Genomic DNA, 24,459 nt, shown 5'->3' on the forward strand with positions numbered 1-24,459 from the left:
GAGTTAACGGGTGCAGCACACCAACATGGCACACATATACATATGTAACAAAACTGCACGTTGTGCACATGTACCCTAGAACTTAAATAAATAAAAAAAAAAAAATATATATATATATATATATATATACACACACACACACATAAAAAGGGAATCTCTTATTTTTCACCTAGTATAGATGTGCTCACTGCTGCTGGTGGCAACTCTTGCTGTGCCTGTAACTCAATCCAGAATAATTACACTGGATTCTGGAGACCTGTTGCTCAGAGGTTGTTGTTTTTCTTTTGTTGGTGCAAAGGTGAACCATTCCTGACTCTTGGACATTACAAAATAAAGACAAATGTTATTGCTGGTTTCAGCTACGAAAAGCCAAGGCTCCAAATCGGTTCCTAAACCCAAAATCAATTAGGCAGATGTCGAGGAGGCAGGACTGAGATTCTATTAATAAGCATCGGGTTGTCAGAGAGACCATGCAGTTAATTTTTTCTCCGTTGCTTTCTGCTGCCTCTGGTTGCAGAAGTTCCTGGGAGAAAATTCTGCTATGGTCATCGTCAACCATAGCAGAGAGGTGGCAGAGCACACGTGGGAAAGGGCAGGGCTTGGGTGTAATTGACGAGGCTCTGCAATGATTGGTCATTTCCTCTCTGAGAAACTCCACCCAGAAATATTCCTCTAACTCAAAATGCTACAATCACCATCCCTGGGAGGGGATATTTATTCAATGGGGCAGGGCTTCCAGGGTGTTTTCCCCACTTTTCAGAAGGGGCTACGCAGAGCTGCTGCCCAGCCACAGGCCTGGTGGGTGATGTTTGCAAAGCAACCTAATGTCCCCCCCTTCCCCACCTCTCCCAATCTGTTCCTCCTGCCCCCGCCTTCCCATCTCTGTAAATGGCACTGCCATCTGCCCAACGGCTCAGCCAAAAACCTAGGAGTCATCCCCGATTCCTCTTCCCTCACCCACCCACTCACGATCCATAAAGCAAACCCTGCCGACCTTCCAAGCAGCACCGGAATCCACCCACCTCTCTCGCTCTGCAGTGCCCCGTCCTGCTCCGTACCACCAGCATCTCCCACCTGGACTGCTGCAAACACCACCTGATCTCCCTGCTTCCGCTCTTGTCCCTGGGCCACCCTCTTCACCTACAGCCGGGGTGTGCCTCTGAGAACATGCACGCATAGCTGACCAGCTCAGAACATTCTGGGGACCTTCCATCGGGCATGCAATCAAATCCAGACCCTGCTGCATGGCCTGCTGGGGACCACCAGGTCTCCCCTGTCTGCTCTCTGCCGCCCTCTTCCCCATCCTCCTCCCCTTCATTCCCATGTCCTGCTGCCCTCCTCCAACGTCCTGGGAAACCTGTTCCTGCCACAGGGCTCTTGCACGTGCCGTGCTTCTGCCTGCAGTGCTCCTGCCTCGGGTTTCCACATGAATGTCTCCTCATGACACAGGTCTCCCCAGTGTTAGGCCACACAACCCCACTTCCCACTGCTAGGGGAGCTGCCCTCACTGGGACCCTTGCTCCTGATCTCTGGTGTTGCTGAGACCCTCAGTTGCCCACAAATATCTCTTTCTCCTTCTTCCTCTGATCAGGCTGTGACTTTATTTTCAATGCACCCAGCTAGGAAACATTTCCCAGATTCCCTTATGGCCAAAGATGTGCCAGGAGCCTGCCTGCCGCCTTCCAGCCCTGCTCTCTGTCCAGTTCTCCACCCCAGGGCACTGGCCTGGAGGTGCTGGTTCAACAAGCCCCTTCGCTCTCTGGGCTTTGGGTTGGATTTGACTGACAAGGGCCCCTGGCAGGAGATCGGAGAAAGAAGAGAGTGAGGTTGGTGGACAGATTCCTCCACCTTCCTCTCTGTGGTGCCAACAGAGGGTGACAGCTCTTGTGGGGTGACCCTCTGTGTCCCTGGGTTCCAGTAACCTCTTGTCCCACTGTTGCTAATTAGCCTGGGGCACTGCCCTATCCCTAGTGGTTTCCTCGCACTTGCTCACACCTTAGCAAAAAACACTTAAACCGTCTTCCAATGATTCAAATTTGCATGTGCTTTATAATTCTCGCTGAGATCATGTGGCTAAGTAAATAAGATCTATTCGTGTTGCATGTGACTTCTGAAGTGGTTTTTTTTTTTTTCTTTTTCCTGCCCTTCTGCCTCTGCTTCCTTCTTCTTGCTGCCTAGAGTGTGGCTATGAGAGCTGGAGCTCCAGCAGCTGTTCTAACCACAAGGTGACTTTGCAGATGGAAGCTACGCAGTAAGTATGATGGAACAGAAAGGCAGAGAAGGAGCTTGGGTCCCTGATAACCTTGAAGCCACCAAGCCAGCCCTAGACTGCCTACCTCCAGACATTTGTATAATTCTGTCTTGTTTAAGCCACTGTTATTTTATGTTTTCTTTTACATGCAGCCAAACCTAATCCTGATACACTTAACTTCCAGAACTCAAGTGATCTCCCAAATGTTGCTGAATTGAAAAAAAATCATCTTACAGGAATGTGCTTGGCAAGCTGAACACCAGTGTGGGTCCGAATGAGCCTCTCTTCTTCCTGAGATAACCTGCATCCACATGTTTTTTCTCCTCTAGTGATCAGCGGCTAGAAGGCCAGGAGGTGGGATCTCAGAGAGGCTGAGCTGGAAGTTACCACTGATCTGGTGTCTGGAATCTGGGTATGTTGTCCTGGGCTTCCAGCCATCTGGCCCCTACAGAGAGTACTTGAGCCTGCGATTTGGAATTGATCTCCTGGATATCAGGCTGTGGCACAGGGTGTGGTTTCCTTGTGTTCACAGATGGAAAGTGGAAAACAGGAGGCCGGCCAGACCTCTGCTACATCTTTCTTTCAAAAGCCTGCCTCTCCCACTGGACAGTTCTCCAGGCTGTATTCCTGCAACTTTCAGGATCTGGGGAGGGTCTCAGATTCAGTAAAGCACAAACAAGCACACAGTTTGTATACGATCCCCACCGTGCCCTACTCTAAGTCCACCCAGGCCTGGGCCTCTCTCTTCAACGTCTGACTGATGTGGCTGCCTATTGGACAGTTCCTGTTGGCTTTTCACAGGCACCTGCAACTTCCCAGGTCCAGAACTGAGCTTTATTTATTGATTTATTGATGTATTGAGACAGAGTCTCGCTCTGTCGCCAGGCTGGAGTGCAGTGGCGCGATCTCAGCTCACTGCAACCTCCGCCTCCTGGGTTCAACCAAATCTCCTGCCTCAGCCTCCCGAGTAGCTGGGACTATAGGCGTGTGCCACCATGCCCCGCTAATTTTTGTATTTTTAGTAGAGATGGGGTTTCACTATGTTGGCCAGGATGGTCTCGATCTCCTGACCTCTTGATCCGCGTGCCTTGGCCTCCCAAAGCGCTGGGATCACAGGTGTGAGCCACCGCACCCGGCCCACAGCTTCTAACCATGGTTTTCCCCATCTCTGTACACAGAAAATCCATTCTCATAGTTTTTCAGGCCACAACCTTGGAGTCATTCTCAACTCTTCTTTACCATCCCTCATCAGTTCCATCAGCACTTGTATCAGCTCTACCTTTGAAATATGACCAGCACTTACTACTTTCCTCACTCTGGTCTGAACCGCTATCATCTCATGCCTGGACCATTGCAATAGACTCCTCATTGGGCTCATCTCATGCGTGGACTGTTGCAGTAGACTCCTTACTGGACACCCTGCTCTCATTACACCTATTCAGTCTATTCTTCTAGAGGGGTCCTATGAAGACACAAATCAGATGCTCAATGTCCTCCTCTGCTCAATGTCCTCTATTGGTGTCCATCTCACTCAGAAAGCCAAAATCTTCCTCCCATTCAAAGGCTCATGCCTTGCACGGTCCATCCAACCACCACCTCCCTATTACCGTTCATTCTTCCTGCTGCTCTTGTGCACGCTGCTCTGGCCTCTTTGCGGCTCTGAGCCTGCTGAGACCGCATCTGCCTCAGGGCCTTAGCACACACCGTTCCCTCTGCCTGGAGTGCTCTTCCCCAGGGATCCCCCTTGACTGGTTTCCTTACCTTCTTTGCTCAGATTTCCCCTTCCCAATGAGACCACCCTATAGAAAATCCCAGCGATTCTTTTCTCCACCTTTCTCCTGGTTGATCGCCCCTCCTGGCTTCCCCTCCTGGCTTTATTCTCCTCCTCACTTTCTGCTCTTTTATGTACTATAGATTCGATGTGTCTTGTTAACTCTTGCATTAGAATGTAAGCTCTGTTTAGTTTGTTTGCTGTTGGATCTCCTTTGGCATACAGTAGGTGCTCAGGAAACACCTGCCGAATGAATAAGTCTGGTCCACAGTTTGAGCAGCTGCTTCAGAGAGCGCCATGTGAGGGTGTCACGAGCATCTCTCTAACTGGACTGCACACCAGCTACCTGCCTTCTTCTGGCACTAGCTTCTGAATTTTCCTTTGGGGAATCTGCTCTATCCCAATCCCAGTCCTCATGGTTCAAGTGGGGTTGGCTCCAGTCCTGGCTCCAGGAATGTGCACCTGACTCCATCTGGCCAACCACTGTGTTCCATTCCCCTGAATCTGGTTGACCAGAAGTCCCAGACAGTGTCAGACCAAAAAGACTCAATTTGGGTACTCTCTTCTAGGTGAGAGAAGCTCTCTTTCCACAGGGATGGCTTGCACCTGTATGGTGTTCATGTGGGTCTAGTGATGCCAGGAATGCTGCCTGGAGAGCTGGCCTGAGAGTAAAGCCAACTTGGAGGAAAGCTGAGGTCAGGGAGATGGAGGGACAGAGGCCACCCAGAGACAAAGCTCCTAGATCCAGCCGCACCTGAAGCTCAATGTATACTTGGACTTATTCATATGAGTCCAATAAAGTCCCCTTTTTGATTCCTCAATCCTGCTCGAGTTGGGTTTACATCACTCGTAACTGAGAGAATCCAGGCTGACAGAGAGTGGTTGTGACACACGCGTTTTTAACACCCAGTGGAAGGCTGGTTCCCATGGCACTTTTGCAGGCCCCAAAACCACCACTCAGTTGCTTTTCAACAGCCATGATGGTGCAACTCTGTTCATCAGCAGAGGCAGTAATGGCAGAAGAACCCATGCCAAACTTGATTGACAAGTGTCACTCAAATTATGGGGTATGTAACCATGCCAGGCTCACATACCTGGCAGAGTGGGTGCCAGCTCACCTGCATGAGCGTGGACAGCACTCACCCCACTGTGTCAGCTGGGAGGAGACTCTAATGTTGCTGTTCAGTGCCATGAGACATTTAGATTTTAATGTCGTTTTGATATGCAAAGCTTGCTGTAGACAAACAACACTGTGGCATTGGCCCAGGGTGCTCTAACAGAGGATGGCTTTAACAACCCAAGTGAGAGCAAACTGTCACACATATGACAGGTGCCAGGTATTCCTCACAAGAATGCCAGGGAAACAGATCATCATCTCCACTTTATAGATGAGTAAACTGAGGCACAGAGAGGGCAAATCTTTCCCAAGGACACATGGTCAATGGTAGAGTGAGGATTTGAACCTGGTGGCTAATGAGACAGCTCTTACCCTTGCAACTTTACTCGGAGTATTTTCATTTAAAGATGTTCTGATAGGCTGGGTGCAGCGGCTCGCACCTGCAATTCCAGCACTTTGGGAGGCCAATGGGGGGCGGATTGTTTGAGCTCAGGAGTTTGCAACCAGCCTGAGCAACATGGCAAAAGCCCATCTCTAAAAAAAAAAAAAAAAAACCCCAAAAACTCCCAAAATTAGCTGAGTGTGATGGTGCGCACCTGTAGTCCCAGCTACTTCGGGGGCTGGGGTAAGAGGATTGCTTAAGCTCAGGAGGTCGAGGCTGCAGTGAGTAGTGATCACACCACTGCATTCCATCCTGGGTGACAGAGCGAGACCCCGTCTCAAAAAATATAAACAAATAAAAATAAAGATGTTCTGAGAGGCAAAGAATTCTTTTGAAATGCAAACATCAGGCCAGGTGTGGTGGCTCACGCCTGCGATCCCAGCATTTTGGGAGGCCGAGGCGGCGGACTGCTTGAGGTCAGGAGTTCGAGGCCAACCTGGCCAACATGGCGAAACCCTGAATCTACTAAAAATACAAAAATTAGCTGGGTGTGGTAGCGGGCACCTGTAATTCCAGCTACTTGGGAGGCTGAGGCAGGAGAATCACGTGAACCCAGGAGGCAGAGGTTGCAGTGAGCCGAGATTGCGCCACTGTACTCCAGCCTGGGTGACAGAGTGAGACTCTCTCAAAAAAAAAAAAAAAAAAAAAGAAAGAAAAGAAAAGAAATGCAAACACTGGATGCAGTCTCGTGGGGCACACTTCAAATCCGACAATCTGAGGGGCCTCGAAAAGGCACCCATCTCTGCCTGGTGTGAACACTCAGGAAAATGAGCACTGGGGAATCCGCTCTGATATTCTGGGGTTTGGAGTCTGGCTGTGTCCTTAACCCTCTGATACAAGAGCCACCACCAAGTGGTCCCCATGTAAGTGGGACCCCCACATCAAAAGCTTGAGAAAGTTCTTCTCTTTTCTAGTCTCTATCCTGCTGATGAGGCCAAGAAGAAAGTCTTGGCAGGTGCTACTTCACCTTTAATGCCGCTTCTGAAACTGCCCGTCACCCTCATTACAGTAGAGACACACTGGCTTTCTGGGAGGCAGCATCTTGCTGAAATTTAAAAACACGACTTGGTTTTCACTGTGTTTGGTTTTACAGTGATCCTTTGCCGAAGGCAATGGGTATTGGTTTTTTCCTTTACAGTCAGAATTTGGAGGTTCCTTTTAAAATAATATTTAAGCTTCAAAAATAAGTCCAGTTAAAGAAATTCTCAAGTCATAGATCAGAACTGGGATGCTGCAAAAATTCTCTTGCTCCAGGCCAGAACCATGTCTTAATCCTCTTGCTGTCTCAGAGCCTGCTGGAGCCCCAGAGGCTCCCCAGAGGTTTAGATCAAATTAAATCAGTAAACCCTGGCAGAGCCCAAAGATTCTACTGCCTCCCTGAACAAAGGACGTCTGCAAACGAGACCTTTACCTCCATGTGCTTCCCTCTTATTCTTTTGGAGCGGAAGTCCAGCAAAAGTCCGTTGGTCTCAGAGGGCCATTGAGACACAGGGATGTCCCCAACTACTTTAAACATGTAATGATAATTTAGGCCACTTACGAACTAGTATGGCCCTGGAAGCAGTTCCCCTGGGCATTTGATAATTCCAAATGACAGCTTAGGGAGTCAAATGCGTGCAGGGAAAGGAAAATTGAATATACGTGGTACAGCCCCGAACCCCCCAACCTTGCAATTAGGAAACAGAACAAGCCCCTCGTCTTGTGTATCTGGCACCAGTCCTCCCAACCGGACCCTAATGAGGATGGACGTCTGTTCTCTGTCCTGGGACTGGAAAGAATCCTGGGATTATCTCAGTCAAGAAGTCTCCAGCCCAGAGGGCTGTCAGAACTGCTGCACGGATGGGCAGAAAATAGCAAATGATAAATTTTTTAGGACCACCCGCTGCATGCCAGTTGTAGCAGAGACTGTGAGATAATGTATTGGGCTTTTTTGGGACATGCATTATTGATCTGGGTCTGTCTAGTGGTTTATAAAAAGCCTATCATGCCCCTCCCACAACCACCTTCCCATCCCTTGCCTCCTTCAAAACCCAGTGCTGCTGGTGGAAGAGGTCTGGCTTGTTTATAGAGGGCAAGACTTGTAGGCCCTAATCTATGCTGTGTAGTGCTATTGGGCAAGAGCTGACACAGGCCACTGAACACCAGGGGCTCTAAACCCACCGCATCCACCTCCTAGAATTTATCCTTCAGAAGCACTCCCTTGTCTGTGCAACGATGCCTGTTTAAATTTCCAGCAACAATATCCGTAACAGTGAAAAACTAACAAACGCACACGCTACCAATCTGAAAACAACTCAATATCCATCCCAGGAATCTGGCTAAATAGAGCAGTGGCTAAGATCACGCGTTCTGGGTTCAAATCTTGTTTTTCTCTTTTTTTCTAAGATGGGGTTTTGTTCTATTGCCCAGGCTAGAGAACAGTGGTGTGACCTAGGCTCACTGCAGCCTTGACCTCTTGGGCTCAAGTGATCCTCCACCTCAGCCTCCCATTAGCTGCTACTACAGGTGTGTGCCACCATCCTTGGCTGATTTTTACATTTTTTGTTAAGACGGGGGGGGTCTCACTATGTTGCCCAGGCTGGTCTCGAACTCCTGGCCTCAAGTGATCCTCAGGCTCCCAAAATGCTGGGATTACAGGCGTGAGCCACTGCACCCAGCTCAAATCATGTTTAATCACATTCTAGCTGTGCAAACTTGGACAAGTGACTTCTCTCTGCCTCAGTTTTTCCATCTGTCAAATGGAGAGAAGAAATCTCTGTATTTTAAGTCAGCCACGGCTTTCTTTGTTCCCCTCTCTCCTGTGTCTACTTCATACCTGCTATTGGTTTCCTTGTATCTGCATACGCTGTTGGTTTCCTTATATCTGCATATGCCTTTGCTTTCTTTTTATCTGCATACACTGTTGGTTTTATTCACAAGTCACAGATGCAAAATTCAGTCAGATTCAGACATGAGACTTAGCTGGATCATGTTGCAAAAATGTGTTGTTCCTAAGAGTGGGTATTCAGCCACTCACCTGTTGATTCGGGCCCCAAATCTAGCGGCTGCCCTTGAAACGTATCTTTTCCATAACCCACATACCTAACCCATTGATCAGTTTATTTCCCAAATATACATCAGGTGGGACCGCATCTCAGCACCCGGGTCTGAGCTTCCATCATCACTGCCCTATCACCCCATCGGCCTCTGAATGAGTGTCCTGTTTCTGCCCTTACCCCTGCGATTTAATTTCATCAAAAGAGCTGGGGGATCCTGTTAGAACCTAAGTGAGGTCACGGCCTTCCTCTTCTTAAGGCCCCCTCATCCATGTCTATTTTACTAAGAATCAAACTCAAAGCCCCCACCATGGCCACAAGGCCTGGTGCAACCCGGGCCAAGTCAGCTCCTCAGCTTCATCTCTCTCCATCACGGCCCCAGCTCCCTCCACTCCGGCTCCCTGGCACTTTTTTTTTTTGCTCCAAACCACCGAGCCCATTTCTATCTCAGTATCTTTGAATTTCCTGTTCTCCTCACCTGGAATGAGCCTCCCTTAGTTCTCTGGCTCCTGACACAGTGCACTGAATGCAACAAATGCGTAATAAACATCTGCTGGATGAATGAACAAACGTGCAGGGCATCGGAAATTCTAAGCATGACTATAGCCGAAACAGCGTCGGGGCTACACAATGTGAGACCAAGAAGCTCTGAGGTCCAGGTGCTGCCTGCAAGACCCCTCTGCAAAATTCTTCAAGAAACGAAACACACCTCTCTGGCCACAGTCTGCAGACTCCCCATAGTTATCAAATGCGCCTCATTCTAAATGCTGCCAGGAGATAGGTATCCTATGTGTCAAATTGTCAATAAAAGCTCTGGGCTCTGATTGCTTCCTGGCTACAAATTCTTTCTGCACTGAGAAGCTCCCGGAGGAAAAAAACTATACTTGTGATCATTAATACAAAGCATTGCAAGGAACAACTTGGTTTTATGTAAATTGCCTTTTCCTGGTAGCTAAAAGACAAATTCAGGTTGTCAAGGCTAACCTAGTCAACCTTCACATTTGTTGCCACCAACAACACGCTGTTATCCTTTAAGAGTGGACAGAGGCTGAGGGATCACCCTTCACGGGATCAATGATTGACAGTCTTTGCCACAACCCACAAGAGCCTCCAAAATTTGGCTCCAGGCTCATGTCTCATCTTTTTTTTTTTTTTTTGAGACAGAGTCTCACTCTGTCACCCAGGCTGGAGTGTAGTGGCATGACCTCCACTCACTGCAACCTCCTTCTCCTGGATTCAAGTGATTCTTGTGCCCCAGTCTCCTCAGTAGCTGGGGTTACAGGTGTGCGCCATCATGCCTGGCTCATTTCTGTAGTTTTAGTAAAGACGGGGTTTCACCACGTTGGCCAGGCTGGTCTCGAACCCCTGACTTCAGGTGATCCACCTGCCTCGGCCTCCCAACGTGCTGGGATTACAAGCATGAGCCATAGCGCCCAGCCTGTTCTCTTTAACTCTTTGGAGAAATCCAGGAACGGTTGTGCAACTGGAGAAGGGTAGAGACCCCTAACCTTGAGGACCCAGTTGTGACCCCAAACACGTGTGGGTGGCCCGTGTCTTGGTTTCAATGTACTCAAAAGTGAGCACGACGCATCAACACCACCGCCTTGCCTCAGGAGCCTCAGCCTAACCCAGGGACCCTGCTCCGAGGGGCCGAGGTGCCACCCTGGGGCCCCGAGGCTTACCCAGCTCCACATCCTGGTCGTCCGTCAGCACCAGGATGATGTTGGGGCGGATGTTCCTGCGGTCCCTCTGAAACCTGCCTTTCAGGCGGTGGTGCGACAGGAAGGCCGAGCTTCCACCCAGCAGGGAGAACACAGTTGCGGACAGCAAGCACAGCACGAGGCTCGGGGGGCCCATCTTCTTTTTTTGCTGATCTGGTGCTTCTTTTGGGATGCGGGAGTCTCAAGTTGCGTCTGTGGCTTTGTTTCTTTTCCCTCGTCCCTCTTCACTCGCAGATCTAGAGGAGGAGGAAGAATCAGGTCAATATTTATGTCAAGGCTGCCGGCTGCTCATTCTTGCATAATGATTTGTATGGCGGCTGGCATGAACAATGGGAGTTTCTTTGAACAGGGGTGGCTATGGCAGAGTGAAAACCGAACTCCGCTGAAGTTAGCAAAGTCTTTACAGTTTGCTTGGTCAACAGACTGGCAGAAAAGCCTTCTGTGGCCACTTCTGCAGAAACAATTTCTTCCCTGGATCCAGTGAGCCTCTGATGTGTCGGTGGCAGCCCAAGACCCGAGTCAGATAACAGCCGTCTCTGAATAATCCACCCAACTCCACAGACAAATCGTCCCCAGGGAGAGGAACAGCAGCGGGCTGGTCTCAAGGGGTGAATATTTGCCGTCCTCTTGCATCTGCCCGCACCGTGGGGTACAGAGGTGAGGGAGATGAAGTTCCAGCTCCCCAGCAGCGGGGGATTCAATCAGGGGTTTAAACGAGAGCCTGGAGCTGGATGTTTTGGGCTGGACAACTGGCATGTGTGAGTGGCAGATCTTCCACTCACTGGCTCAGTTTTCCCGTGAGCAAGCCCGTTTGGAACCTCGGTTTCCCCATGAACAAAATGAGTAGACAGGGCTGTTGTAAGATTTCAGTCTGCTGGGGATGCGTGTGAAAGCCCCTTGTTAAGGGATCTTGTAGTTGGGCAAAAAAGTATTCCTTTTTTTTTTTTTTTTTTTTTCCCAGACAGAGTTTTGCTCTTGTTGCTCAGGCTGGAGTGCAATGACGCCATCTGGGCTCACTGCGACCTCTGCCTCCTGGTGTTCAAGCGATTCTCCTGCCTCAGCCTCTAGAGAAGCTGGGATTACAGGCGCCTGCCACCACGCCCGGCTAATTTTTTGTATTTTTGGTAGAGATGGGGTTTCACCATGTTGGCCAGGCTGGTCTTGAACTCCTGAACTCAGGTGATCCACCTGCCCTGGCCTCCCAAAGTGCTGGGGTTATAGGTGTGAGCCACTGTGCCCAGCCTATTAGTTTTAAGTTGCAGAATAAATGAAATGACAATAGAGAAAATTGAGCGCTAAAAGGTGGAGGGGGAAGACCTGCCACAGGCCACTGTGCCCTCAGTCACCCCCCTGGCCCCAGGTCAGACTAGGTCACCAGCGAAGGTGGGTGCGGGGAGGTGGGGACGCGACTCTGGCTCAAGCAGGTCTCTAATCTCGCCCTGCTCTTTGCTCTCCGTGGTCATTTTTTCACTTCTTGAGGAAATGAGCCTTCAAGTCCTGTCCAGATATAGACTTTTGGTATCATTTATTTAAAACAAGAGAGCATGAGCGAGAGAGCCACAGCCTGCAGATGTGCCGGGAGGAAGCCAAGTGCTGTGGGGGTGGCTGTGTTGCTGTGACCTTGAAAGGGTCTGTTTGTCCTTGCCCTTCATGGGGAACCCCAGCCATCAGCTCAAAGTCATGACTCAGAGGCTCAGCAAGGTCTCCGGGTTCAGCAGGGGGATGTGCTGCCTGCTTCATCTCTCCTGGGGACTGCAAGGTGGCCTGAGGGGTCTCCCGCCTCCCTCTTCCCTGCCCCCATCCTCCATTTTCCCAGGGCAGCCGGAGGAATCTTCCTAAAATACAGATCAGATCACAGCACTGGGCAGGGGAGGGCACAGTGCCTCGTGCAGGTACAGACTGAAGGGGGTGCTCGCTCCCAGGCTGCACAAGTGCCAGGCACTCGCCTCACCTTAGTGCCAGTCCTGTGCTCACCTGCCGCACCTTCCCTGGCTGCTCATGGCTCACAGGATAAGATGCAAACTTCTTGCCAGGGCTGCCCTGGCCCGTGAGATCTGGCCCCTGCCCACTTCTCCTCGACCTCTCCTTTCCAGCCCTACTGGCTTCTTTCTGTCGAATGGACAAGTCAAGCTTCTCTTTGCCCCAGGGTCTTTGCACCTGCTCTTTTAAAAATAACTCCCGCAGCTGTGCGCAGTGGCTCACATCTGTAATTCCAGCACTTTGGCAGGCTGAGGCAGGTGGATCACCTGAGGTCAGGAGTTCGAGACCAGCCTGATCAACATGGTGAAACCCCATCTCTACTAAAAATACGCAAATTAGCTGGGCATGGTGGCACATGCCTGTAATCCCAGCTACTCGGGAGGCTGAGGCAGGAGAATCGCTTGAACCTGGGAAATGGAGGTTGCAGTGAGCCGAGATCATGTCATTGCACTCCAGCCTGGGTGACAGAGTGAGACTCCGTCTCAAAAACAACAACAACAACAACAAACTCCTGCTTTGTACTCCTGGCTCTTTCTGTCAAAAGAACAAACGTCATCACCTCAGAGAGGCCTGCCCTGGCCACCCTATTTAAAGCGGGGGCCCCCAACCCAGGCACTCTGCATTTTATAACCGGTTTTATTTCTCTTGTAATCACTACTGCAGCCTGCAATTTCTTATTTATTGTCCAATTCTTCCCCACTAGGGGGTCAGCTCCCTGAGGACAGAGACAGGCTTATGTTATTCATGGCTGTCTCCAGGCCTTGGCACAAAGAAATAGATAAATAAAGGAACGGAGGTTCTGCTAAGGTCCTTTGAGTTCTGCAGAGTGAGGGAAGCTGGACTTGGCAGGGCCGTGCCATAGCTTGGGTCTACATGGCTCAGAGGCGTCCATCACTGATGCCTTGCCCCAGCCACCCTCCATGGACACCAACGAGGAGCTGGCCACTGTGTTCTCTGGGCAGCGCTATGGTTGAAAAACCCCAGGAAGGGTCACTCCTGCTCCATTTCTCCCCCAGCTCTGCTTGGCACCCTGGGAGGCTGAGCTCTACAGATGGCACGGTCGGCACGTCCCTGCTCTCTGGCTTCCGGCTGGGAGGCTGCAGCATGGGAGGTGGTGGGAAGTCCGTGCATTTATTCTCCTCCCGCACGCAGTAGCTCCCCAGGCAGTAGCCTTCGTGTCTGTGTGTGTGGATGCAGCTCCTGCCTGGGGCCCCTCCTGGCTCTAGCGTCTCCCCAGTTCTGAGTTCACCTCTCCCTCCTCTTGCCCCATCAAGTCTCGGGAAAGTAAGGGCTCCTGTTGCTACCGGTTCCTCGGTGCAGCATCATTTCTTTGCTCCCTTTGCCCACCTGCCTCTGAAAACAGTGCTTTCAATCAACTCTCCCAGCTGCCCTGATGCGCACCCTAATTTACTTCATTCAGGGACCTGTATCCTATGTCAGGCTGGCCAGGACAGCAAGTCTCCCTTCTAGCACCTCCCCTGGGAGCAGGAAGCAGGCTCCGCTCAATGCCTCCTTCCCAGGTGGCTCTGAGAGTCACAATTTCAGGGGAGCTGGGGACACACTCGATGCAGTCGTCTGACATGAGAACTGTGAGTTTCATGGGACCAGAGGGTGAACAACACCTTCCTTCTCAATCTCTCGTCTGCAGAAACATACACCTCATGACAGCCAGAGCCACTGCGGCAACTGCCTGCTGGGCACCTGCTTTATGCCACGTGGTGTGATGGTTAAGGATGTGGACTTTGGAGTTACTTGCTGAAAGACCCTGAGCTAGTAACTTAACACCTTTGTGCCTCAGTTTCCTCATCTGTGAAATGGGTGTGCAGGATTAAATGTGTTGATACAGTGTGCTGGGACTAGAGCCTGGCCATAGTACTAACTGGGATACATATTCCACAATGTAAACCATTATTAGAGTGATCCTACCGCTGCAGCTGTCCTGCGTCAGGCACTCTGAAATCTCCTTCAACCTCCACCAAGGCTCCCTCCTGCAAGTACTATTATTAGCCCCAGAGAAAACTGAGGTTTCATTACTGTCCTAAGGCCACCCAGACAGAAGATGGCAGGGATGGGATGTGAATTCTGCCCTCCCTCACCGTTCAATGTGGGCTTCTCATCACGAAACTCGGATTTCCCAACTCTTTCCGTTCAAGGACCACGGCCCTGATTTCTGCTGAATCTGCAGAGCCCTTCAGTGATTATTTGCTTAACGTGCTTCTTTAAATGGCCTCATTTTAAAATAAAAACACAAACACATGTTTTGGGAAAAGAAAACTTCCTACCCAAAGATAAATGGAAAGTGGACATCGCTTCCCTGTAGAGCTAATTGTACAAATAAAAGTCAAAGAAAGCTGAATCAGTGGAACTTGATGCAAATAGCTTCCCAGGCTTCGCGTGCCCTCGCGCTCGCACTCTCTTTTGAAGTGAGATTAGCAGGTGTTGAAAGGAGTCAAAGCACATTAGCACCATCTGAGACTTTCTGCTGGAGGTAACTGGAGGCTGCCAGACAGCTGAAAAGGAGACAAACTCTAGCCATCGAATCAGTCCCTGAACCACCCCAAATCAGAGTAATCCTCAAACTATGTTGTGTATCTGATATGGTTTGGCTGTGTCCTCACCCAAATCTCATCTTGACTTGTAGCGCCCATAATTCCCACGTGTTGTGGGAGGGACCTGGTGGGAGATAATTGAATCATGGGGGTGGTTCCCCCATACTGTTCTCATGGTAGTGAATAAGTCTCATGAGATCTGACGGTTTTATAAAGGGTTTCCCCTTTTGCTTGGTTCTCATCTTCTTTTGTCTGCCATCACATAAGACGTGCCTTTCACCTTCCACCATGATTGTAAGGCCTCCCCAGCCACATGGAACAATGAGTCCATTAAATCTTTTTCTTTTAAATTACCCAGTCTCGGGTATGTCTTTATCAGCAGCGTGAAAACAGACTAATACATTATCAGTGGCCCATGTCCCTCCATCGGGAAACACTACGGGATGCTTTGCACTTGAAACTACGATTGCAGCAGCCAGCGTTCTAAGATGCACATTCACGTTCCTTCAGAGAGACAGACGTGGAGTGCTAATATTGGGAGAATTCCGATGGGGTGCCCTACAAATAGCAACTCTCTGAAACCAGAAACCAATCACAGGAAAACCTTTCTGAAAGCTTGCAGCACACTCCAGTCTCTGCTCTGAGCTGTTTGCAGGTGTCAACCCAATTAATATGCACACCCACCCATCAATATTTCACCCATTTTATGGATGAAGAAGCTGAGGCACAGAGAGTTAAAATCACTTTCCCCCGATCATATGGGTAAGTGGCAGAGAAGGGGTTCAAACCTAGTCTGGCCCGATTTGGGCAGCTCAACCAGGACCCCCTAGAAGCAGATCTTTGAACAAGTTCCTAAGAGTCTCCCAGCCTCAGTTTCCTCATTTGCCAGGTGGCCAGGTGCCCTCTGAGGGCCTTTTTGGCCCTGGGCCTGTGATGCCAGGGTACAGGGGGGCTGGGAAGGGCAGTCTTCATTGGGAGCCCTGGGCTGGGTAAAGATGGAGCCCGGGGCACAGTCAGCTGGACTTCGTTCCTGGCTCCCATGTTGGTTTCAGAGCACCCCCCACTCCTGGGCGGCTATCACCCGCTCTCCTCTGGATGGAAGTCAAAGCTCCGGCACCAGAAGCCAGAGAATAACAGGAGCTAATTATTTCATCAGATCAAGTCATCAGTGGGTCGATTTCTGATGAATTCCCCTGGCTCAGACTTCTCGTGGCCTCATGCCAGTTTCTCTCCGGATGCTGAAGAAATCAATTAAAGATGACACAAGGGATTCTGCCTTGTTTTTTTTCCTTTTTCTTGGTAAAATATTCAAAGTGGCTGAACCGAGAGAGCACCCAGTGAACTCACGCAGCACCAGCCGCCTGCCACTCCATCCCTGCTGTGGACAACACCTCTCCTTCCCACCAGTTCCTTTCCAGGTCTCTCTGGCTCCTCCTCTCCATCCTGAGTCTTCTCCAGGACCTTGGCAAAGGCTCGCCAGCCCAGGAGACATCTCTGGAAACAGCTAACGTCCTGAGCATTTAGAAACATCATTTTTAGTTCTCAATTTCTCTGCCGATCTGCCAAGAGGAACGGGTCTGAGTGACTGATGCCCTCACCTTCCCAATGCCACAAACCACAGCGGTGAACAAACACCTGGGACCTCATCCAGACCTGTTTAGAAAGACCCAGATGGGCTGTTTTCCTCTGAGGATCTCCAAATCCAACAAGAGGAGGAGAGAGAAGTTTGGGAACAATCAGGCAGCTGAGGTGGTGGGAGAGGAAGAAGGGGCCAGAGGCAGAAGGAGGCACTGGTCAGATGGTAAATGTCCATGAAAGGCGGGAAGAAAGCAAACTGTGGGTGTGCAGATACGTCCCACGGGCTGGGGCCAGAGCCCCGCAACAGACCTAGCGGCCTCCCCAGGTGGTCCAGAGAACCTGATCATTTCTCTCTCTTCCTTCTTTCACTTTACAAATACGTATGAAGGACCTCCTATGAGGCACAGTGTTCAGTGATAGGAGAATCCTGCCTGGATTCCAACAGCCTCCTAACTGGTTTCCCTGCTTCTACCTCGTCCCTTCCATCAAGCAGCCAGACAGATCCTGTTAAAACAAAAGCAAGGGCCTGCCTTCCTCCACTGAACGGCCTTCAATAACTTCCATCCCACGCAGAGTAAAACGCAAAAACCCTCCAAAGGGGCTACAAGAACCCACCCAACCTGCTCCATCACCTCTCCGACCTTATTGCCTTCCCCTCTCTCCCTTGCACACCTGGTTCCAGCCACACGGTCTCTGTACTGTTCCTTGCACATGCTAGCACAGCCCACCCCAGGGCCCTTGAACTTGCTGCTCCCTCTGCCTGGAGCCTTCATTCAGGTTATCTTCACCATCCCTTCTTCCCCCTCCTCAGGTCTTTGCTCAAATTTCACCTTGGCAGGTTAAAACCGAAATCTCTGCCCTCCCCAGTAGCACTTACCACCTCTCACAGCTAGCTCCTTTATTTCTTTGCGGATGTCCTCCAGCAGAATATCAGCCCCCTGAAGGTACAGGTTTTTGTCATTTTTGTTCAGATCTATATCCTCAACAATTAAAACAATGCTTGCGGCATAGCAGGCATTCAAAATATTTACTGGCTTAACAAAGAATTATCTCCTGTCTCCTGGTAACAGCCCCTGTTAGTGCTTTGAGGCCACAAGTGCTCTTATTTCCCACCCCCCCTTATATATGGTTTGACTGCAGGGCAGCGCATGTGAGCCAGGTGGAGCCAATCAGCAATTCCAGCTCTAGCTTCAGCGATTGGTCCTGGGGCAGACATGTGACCCAAGTCTGGCCAATAAGCGAGAGGGAGTCCTGGAGGCTGGAGGAGACTGTGCTGGGTGCCAGGAGGCATGAATATGGTGCTGATGGTGGCCGCCCATTGGATGGAGCCCGAGAGAGAGGATGCTGGTGACAATGGGGTGGACCAAGTTGCATCTTGTAGCCAGGTACAGACTCAAAAAAGTGCCCTTTGCTGCTTAAGAGAGTCCGAATTAGGGCTGTCATTTGCAACAGGGAGCACCCAGACCAACACAGGAAACACCCTAGAAGAACAATAATGAATGATAGCTAACATCAGGGGCCCTGCACAATTCTAAGCACTTTTAGTGTGTGACCTCACGCCACCCTTACAACCACCTTGTGAGTTGGGATGCTCCATTTACAGACAAGGAAGATAAGGCACGGACAGGTTCCAGAACCTGCCCAGTGTCGTGCAGCATGGGTGCTGAATACTGTCCCTTTGGTCCTCCCTTCCCATCTTCTCTCCACCTCCAAATCCAACAAGAGGAGGAGAGAGGGCTGGGCGCGGCAGCTCACGTCTGTAATCCCAGCACTTTGGGAGGCCAAGGCGGGCGGATCACGAGGTCAGGAGATCGAGACCATCCTGGGTAACACGGTGAAACCCCGTCTCTACTAAAAAAAATACAAAAAAATTAGCTGGGCGTGGTGGCGGGCGCCTGTAGTCCCAGCTACTTGGGAGGCTGAGGCAGGAGAATAGCGTGAACTCAGAGGTGGAGCCTGCAGTGAGCCGAGATCGAGCCACTGTACTCCAGCCTGGGTGACAGAGCGACACTGCCTTAAAAAAAAACAAAACAAAACAAAAAAAAAAAAACAGGAGAGAGAAGTTTGGTAATAATTAGGCAGTTGAGGTGGTGGGAGAGGAAGAAGGGGCCAGAGGCAGAAGGCGGCATTGGTCAGACGGGAAACACTCATGAGAGGAGGGAAGAAAGGAAATTGTGGGTGTGCAGATATGTCCCACGGGCTGGGGCCAGAGCCCAGCAACAGACCTGAGGGCCTCCTCAGGTGGTCCAGGGAGCCTGATCATTTCTCTCTTCCTTCATTTACTTTACAAATATTTATTAAGGGCCTGCTATATGTGAGGCAGTGTTCAGTGATAGGAGAATCCTGCCCGATTACAACAGTAATCCACTCTTCCCTGTCCCCTGGGAGGTTCACTTGGATGTGCCACCTCCAAGTGACAGACAAAACAAGCAAGCCAGCATGGCTATTTGCACACAGACATTCTGACCCCAGAGCCTACTCTTTTGACACTTATGCTGACTTGGAAAGCAACAAGTGATACAAGGGACTGAGGTTAAGTGTGTTGTATAAACAGCAAGAGGAAAGGGGAAACTGCTGGCCTGGGAGCAGTCAGGGAGGGCTTCCTGGAGGAGTACTTAGCATAAACTGAGCAGCCTAACAGGAGCAAAGTTCTGAAGAATCCAAAGGATTTGGATGGCCAGTGAAGAGGAGGGTGGAGGACAGGATGCTTCAGGCAGGAGAAACAGTTTGGGCAAAGAGCAGGCAGAGGAAACAGAGAGAGGCCCCTGGAGGGATGGGAAAGTGTGGTCCCAAACCTCACAAGCCCAGAAGCTGTCTAGACAGGGGATGACACACGCACATCTGTTAAACTTTACACTCCCCTGTGTCTCCCTTTCTTCCTGGCTACAGGCTTTCTCCAGCCTTCTCTCCTCCTCTTTGGGGCCGTCAAAGAAAGGACAGAAGCTCCTGTAACCTATGGGCCACAGCTTCTCCCTGTCTCCCCTACCTAGCCCAGGCCATCTTGTGGCTCTCCTTGCCTGTTCTTGGAATTCCAAATGGAGGCAGAGAACCAAGCCGGCTCTCAAGAACAGGGCAGGAGACAATAGAAGGGTCATTCAGAGGGAGGAGGGAAAGATCAGGTTTCAAGACAAAGGCTCAGGATCTGGAAAGGAAATTAGGGCATAAAGATTGTAGGGCAAAAATGCAGGGCTTAGGAACCCAGTTACCTGCCTAACTATTGATGTAACAAGACATTCCTGAAGGCTCGTGTGTGCCAGGCACAGTTCTTGGCACTGTGGATAAAGCAGTGAAAAGAAAGCTCCCTGCCCTCCTGGAAGTGATACTCTAAGTCAACATAGGAAAAGCTGGAGTTGAAAGATTCCAGCTACATGTGAGAATGATCAGAAAAGAGGACTGGAAATAATGGCAAACCACCGGCAAGCTGTGAGAACAGAGTGGCCATGGATTAAAGTTAGAGCACAAAGGAAATTTAGAAACAATGTATTCAAGTCTTAGGAAGCTGAGCACCAAAATGTTTTGTATGTCAAGTGGGTAGATGTTTGACAGGCCATATAATTCACACCCTCAAATACCTGAGCATCTGCCACTTGCTTTGTACTGTTTCATGATCAGTAGAAAAAAAAAAAAAGAACAGACAAAACTCTCGATTCTCAGAGAGCTGACAAACAGCGGACAGAGGTAAGCAAACAGCCTGATACTTACTTGGGGGAAAATGCCACAGGGAACACGCTGAGTAGGAGGAGGGTAGGATCTAGAGCTAGCCTGCCTGGGTTTGGATCTCAGCTCCGTCACTTACTAGAGGTTGGGCAAGTGTCTGAACCTCTTGTCTTCTCAGTGACTTCATCTGGAAAGTGAGGACACCTACAAGCACTTGCCTACAGAGTGGATGGTTTAACATGCACGGAGACTTTCAACAGATCTGTATGCAGCAAGTGCCCAATAAATGCTGGCTTGTGTTCTCTGCTAGGTTTGGGCCACCCAGGATTATCTCCTTTCTATAACAGCTCCCAATTTTCTTGGGAGTCTGAGGCCGGGTGTGGCGGCTTACACCTGTAATCCCAGCACTTTGGGAGGCCAAGGCAGGTGGATCATTTGAGGTCCAGAGTTTGAGATCAGCTTAGCCAACATGGTGAAACCCCATCTCTACTAAAACTACAAAAATTAGGCTGGGCACAGTGGCTCACGCCTGTTATCCCAGCACTTTGGGAGGCTGCGGCAGGTGGATCATGAGGTCAGATCGAGACCATCCTGGTTAATGCGGTGAAACCCCATCTCTACTAAAAATAAAAAATTAGCTGGGTGTGGTGGCACATGCCTGTAGTCCTAGCTACTTGGAAGGCTGAGGCAGGAGAATGGCGTGAACCCAGGAGGCAGAGCTTGCAGTGAGCCGAGATTGCGCTACTGCACTCCAGCCTGGGTGACAGAGCAAGACCGTGTCTCAAAAACAACAAAAATTAGCCAGGTGTGGTGACATGTGCCTGTAATCTCAGTTACTCGGGAGGCCAAGGCAGGAGAATTGAGCTGAGATCACGCCACTGCACTCCAGCCTAGGCGACAGAGCAAGACTCTGTCTCAAAAAAAAAAAAAAAATATTGGGGGATCCTTTTCTCCCCACCCTTGGTCCACAAAGTTCAAATTAGGCTCCAGTTCTGGAGCTACAATGCTAGATCGTGGGATCCTAGACCTGGGCCAATCAGAGCCTCCCCACCCCTTGCCTCAGTGACGGGCCAGAGTAATCCAGGCCCTTTGGCCTGACTGGTCAGGAAGAGGCATCCAGTCTTTACAACTGGCTAACTCACTCCATGTGGTTCCAATGTGAGGACCAGGGAAGACAGCGACGCCACTTTGTCTTGAGTGGGGTCGGGAATGAAGCCAACACACCGAACACAGCAGTGCTGTGAAATGCACCATACTTGGGACTTAACAGCACTGGACACCTGGGATCCAGCCCAGCCTGAAAGAGGAAGATTTGGGTTGGGTTCTTTGTTTCAGGCCCAATAAATTCCTCTTTAACTAGTTTCTGTTTTCTTTGTAGGTCAGTTTCCCCATACTTTTGACTCTTCAAGATCAGAAGTGAAATTCCCTTTTTTCAATTAGGTCATTCCTAGTTGCTCTCTCACTTGCAACCAAATGAACCCAAATTGGGGGGCGGGCTGGAGGCAGAGGGCTGACTCCCGTGGCTTCCTGGCCACCTCGTGCCTGTGTGAACAGAGGCCTCAGGGCACGGCCTACCAGCCCACGCTAGGCCTCCTTGGCCTGTGCCCAACTCTCCGCCTTACTGAGGGCCAACTCGCCCATCCTTCTTTGACAACTGATAAGAGAAGGTAGTGTGGAAAAGCGGAAGGAACGTGGGTGTGGGAATCACAAATTCTGGACCTGACTCGGCCACCCTGGCTGTGACTTGGGCCTTCCCTGGCCCTCTGTCCCTGAAGCAGGCCCTGCTCGGTCACCCCCACCCCCAGTCCCAGCACTGCTCTCTTCAGAGCACTTATCATAACTTGTGATTCCTCTATTTACTCTCTGGCCTGAGTTTGTGTTTGTGTGCGTGTTTTTTTTTTTTTTTTTGAGATGGAGTCTCCTCTGACATCCAGGCTGGAGTACAGTGGCATGACCTTGGCTCACTGCAACCTCCACCTCCCAGGTTCAAGTGATTCTCCTGCCTCAGCCTCCTGAGTAGCTGGGATTACAGGCACCCGCCACCATGCCTGCCTCATTTTTTTTTTGAGACGGAGTTTCACTCTGTCGCCCAGGCTGGAGTGCAGTAGCGTGATCTCAGCTCACTGCATACCTCCACCTCCTGGGTTCAAGTGATTCTCCTGCCTCCGCCTCCTGAGTAGCTGGAACTACAGGTGCCCACCACCACGCCCGCTAATTTTTTTGTATTTTTAGTAGAGACGGGCTTTCACTGTGTTAGCCAGAATGGTCTCAATTTCCTGACCTTGTGATCCACCCGCCTCGGCTTCCCAAAGTGCTGGGACTACAGGCGTGAGCCACCGCGCCCGGCCACACCTGCCTAATTTTTGTATTTTTTTTTTTTTTTTTTAGTAGAGACAGGGTTTCACCATGTTGGCCAGGCTGGTCTCAAACTCCTGACCTCAAGTGATCTGCCCACCTTGGCCTCCCAATGTGCTGGGATTACAGGCGTGAACCGCTGCACCTGGCCTGGGTTTTTATTTTGTAGAGGGGCATCCCTCCACCAGAAGCTCGCATGGGCAGGGGCTGTCTCTTGGTTGCCTGACGCCACGGCCCCAGCTCCTGGCAGAGCCGAGGTGCTAATTCTTCCAGATAGGCAGCCGAGATTTCCTGAGCACCTACTATGTTCCCGGCCCTATTCTTCAGTGCTGGGAATCAGGAAAAACAATCCTTCATGGATCAGACACCAAAATAAATTACACAACATATGAGGCAACGTGTCCCAAGGAGATCAAGTCCTAAGGAGGGAGGTTGGAGTGCTAGGGAGTGAGGGGGTGTAACTTTAAATAGGTTGGGTAGCGAAGGCCTGAGAGATGACAGTTGGGTGGATCCCTGCAGGAGGGGAGGGAACATGCCTTGTGGATATTTAGGGGAAGAGCATCCTAGGCACAGGGAACAGAAAGCGCAACTGTCCTGAGGTAGGAAGATGCCTGAGGGAGGGCCGGAAAGGGGGCACGCATGGCGGCACGGAGCTGAGTGAAGGGGGCTGGGGGGTTCTAGCTTGCGGGTGATGTGATCTGGTGTAGTTTTTTTTTTTTTTTTTTTTTTTTTGAGACAGAGTCCTGCTCTGTCGCCCAGGCTGGAGTGCAGCGGCACGAACATAGCTCACTGCAACCTCCATTTCCCAGGCTCAGGCAATCCTCCCACCTCAGCCTCCCAAGCAGCTGGGACTGCAGGTGAGGACAACCATGCCCGATTACTTTTTAAATTTTTGGTAGAGATGAGGTCTTGCTATGTTGCCCAGGCTGGTGTTGAACTCCTGGACTCAAACAATCCTCTCACCTCAGCCTCCCAAAGAGCTGGGATTACAAGCATGAGCCACCATGCCCAGCCCTGATGTAAGTTTTAACAGAATCCTTCTGACTATGTGAGGGGAACAGACTGCAGGGCATGAGGGTAGGCACAGGGAGGCCACTGAGATGACTAGGTGGGAGCAAAGAAGGGGCAAGAGGTGGACGGTTTCTGAATATTGTTCAGTGAATGAATGAATAACTGCACGGTGGGAAGACTGGAATTGGCTGAATGCTCCAGTTACTAATACTGTGTAACAATTTACCGCAAAACTTAGTGGTGAATTAAAATCTTTCTTTTATTCTCAGAGGCTCCTGATCAGGAACTTGCGCAGGACATGGCAGGAAGGGCTGGTCTCTGCTTTGTAACGTCTGAGGCCACTGCTGAGAAGGCTCAGCAGGGCCTTGGCTTGTCTGGCAGTTGTTGCTGGCAGTCGGTTGGGAGCTTGGGAGGGGCTGCGGAGTGGGCACCTCCATGTGGCCTCAGTGTGGCTTGGGCTTCCTCACAGCATGGCGGCCTTGCAGTGGGGTCTGATTTCTTACACAACAGCGAGGGTCCCAGTGATCCAGGGGGAGCTGGCTCATCTTTTCTGCTGTCCCATGGTGTTCCTTCCACCAGGGCTACGCACGTCTGGCCAGATTCAAGGGGAGGGGACACAGACCCACATCTCAACAAAGGAGCATCAAGGTCCCACCATGGATGAGCCTGCAGGGTACCGTGTGGCCATCCCGTAAAACAGTCAGTCCTGCTGGGTCACAGAGGCTGGCCAGGCCTGGGGCAGCCACGTGGGCCTCCCCTGCAGTACATCCTCCCTCCTAGGAAGTGAAACCCGATCTGATCCCTGGCTGTCGGGGCTGGGCGTTTGTGCTCACGTCCATTTCAAAGAATCTGTGAGCCTCGGAAAGTCCTGGGTGGGCACTCTTCCTTCTCACATGACCCAAGGGTGTTAAAGCCACGATGTCAGGTCCAGGGGGTTCTGAGCAGGGCAGGAGGGTGAACTGAAGGGCTCGTACCAGGAGCTAGAGTCACAA

At 50.7% G+C, this 24,459-nt stretch overlaps 1 protein-coding gene across 18 annotated transcripts in view, besides 9 other annotated features; it reads right to left on the reverse strand.

Annotated features, from left to right (window-relative positions):
* Positions 1 to 24,459, reverse strand: part of SULF2 (sulfatase 2) — a 129,222-nt gene that overhangs the window by 89,485 nt on the left and 15,278 nt on the right. For 15 of the 18 annotated variants that reach the window (XM_047440296.1, XM_047440295.1, NM_198596.3 and 12 more), the window contains exon 2: positions 10,299 to 10,573. In XM_047440296.1, the coding sequence (XP_047296252.1) occupies positions 10,299 to 10,473 (175 nt within the window). In that variant the 5' untranslated portion in view covers positions 10,474 to 10,573. Of the gene's footprint in view, positions 1 to 10,298; positions 10,574 to 17,321; positions 17,539 to 24,459 lie in introns of those variants that run through there. The other 3 variants (XM_047440301.1, NM_001387049.1, NM_001387055.1) reach the window with 1 other exon arrangement.
* Positions 5,453 to 5,954: an enhancer, noted in NCBI's record as "H3K4me1 hESC enhancer chr20:46381087-46381588 (GRCh37/hg19 assembly coordinates)". NCBI's record gives its function as "activates a minimal SCP1, AML or CMV promoter by ChIP-STARR-seq in primed H9 embryonic stem cells {active_cell/tissue: H9 hESC(primed)}" and the evidence as "EXISTENCE:reporter gene assay evidence [ECO:0000049][PMID:30033119]".
* Positions 5,955 to 6,454: an enhancer, noted in NCBI's record as "H3K4me1 hESC enhancer chr20:46381589-46382088 (GRCh37/hg19 assembly coordinates)". NCBI's record gives its function as "activates a minimal SCP1, AML or CMV promoter by ChIP-STARR-seq in primed H9 embryonic stem cells {active_cell/tissue: H9 hESC(primed)}" and the evidence as "EXISTENCE:reporter gene assay evidence [ECO:0000049][PMID:30033119]".
* Positions 10,504 to 11,261: an enhancer, noted in NCBI's record as "H3K4me1 hESC enhancer chr20:46386138-46386895 (GRCh37/hg19 assembly coordinates)". NCBI's record gives its function as "activates a minimal SCP1, AML or CMV promoter by ChIP-STARR-seq in primed H9 embryonic stem cells {active_cell/tissue: H9 hESC(primed)}" and the evidence as "EXISTENCE:reporter gene assay evidence [ECO:0000049][PMID:30033119]".
* Positions 11,262 to 12,020: an enhancer, noted in NCBI's record as "H3K4me1 hESC enhancer chr20:46386896-46387654 (GRCh37/hg19 assembly coordinates)". NCBI's record gives its function as "activates a minimal SCP1, AML or CMV promoter by ChIP-STARR-seq in naive H9 embryonic stem cells {active_cell/tissue: H9 hESC(naive)}" and the evidence as "EXISTENCE:reporter gene assay evidence [ECO:0000049][PMID:30033119]".
* Positions 12,021 to 12,777: an enhancer, noted in NCBI's record as "H3K4me1 hESC enhancer chr20:46387655-46388411 (GRCh37/hg19 assembly coordinates)". NCBI's record gives its function as "activates a minimal SCP1, AML or CMV promoter by ChIP-STARR-seq in naive H9 embryonic stem cells {active_cell/tissue: H9 hESC(naive)}" and the evidence as "EXISTENCE:reporter gene assay evidence [ECO:0000049][PMID:30033119]".
* Positions 14,511 to 15,049: an enhancer, noted in NCBI's record as "NANOG hESC enhancer chr20:46390145-46390683 (GRCh37/hg19 assembly coordinates)". NCBI's record gives its function as "activates a minimal SCP1, AML or CMV promoter by ChIP-STARR-seq in naive H9 embryonic stem cells {active_cell/tissue: H9 hESC(naive)}" and the evidence as "EXISTENCE:reporter gene assay evidence [ECO:0000049][PMID:30033119]".
* Positions 18,770 to 19,542: an enhancer, noted in NCBI's record as "H3K27ac hESC enhancer chr20:46394404-46395176 (GRCh37/hg19 assembly coordinates)". NCBI's record gives its function as "activates a minimal SCP1, AML or CMV promoter by ChIP-STARR-seq in primed H9 embryonic stem cells {active_cell/tissue: H9 hESC(primed)}" and the evidence as "EXISTENCE:reporter gene assay evidence [ECO:0000049][PMID:30033119]".
* Positions 18,770 to 19,709: a biological region, named in NCBI's record as "Sharpr-MPRA regulatory region 8498".
* Positions 19,415 to 19,709: a silencer, noted in NCBI's record as "tiled region #8498; HepG2 Repressive non-DNase unmatched - State 10:DNaseD". NCBI's record gives its function as "represses a minimal TATA promoter and a strong SV40 promoter by Sharpr-MPRA in HepG2 cells {active_cell/tissue: HepG2}" and the evidence as "EXISTENCE:reporter gene assay evidence [ECO:0000049][PMID:27701403]".

This window comes from Homo sapiens, chromosome 20, assembly GCF_000001405.40.
Source record: "Homo sapiens chromosome 20, GRCh38.p14 Primary Assembly".
In the NCBI taxonomy this organism is placed as follows: Eukaryota; Metazoa; Chordata; class Mammalia; order Primates; family Hominidae; genus Homo; species Homo sapiens.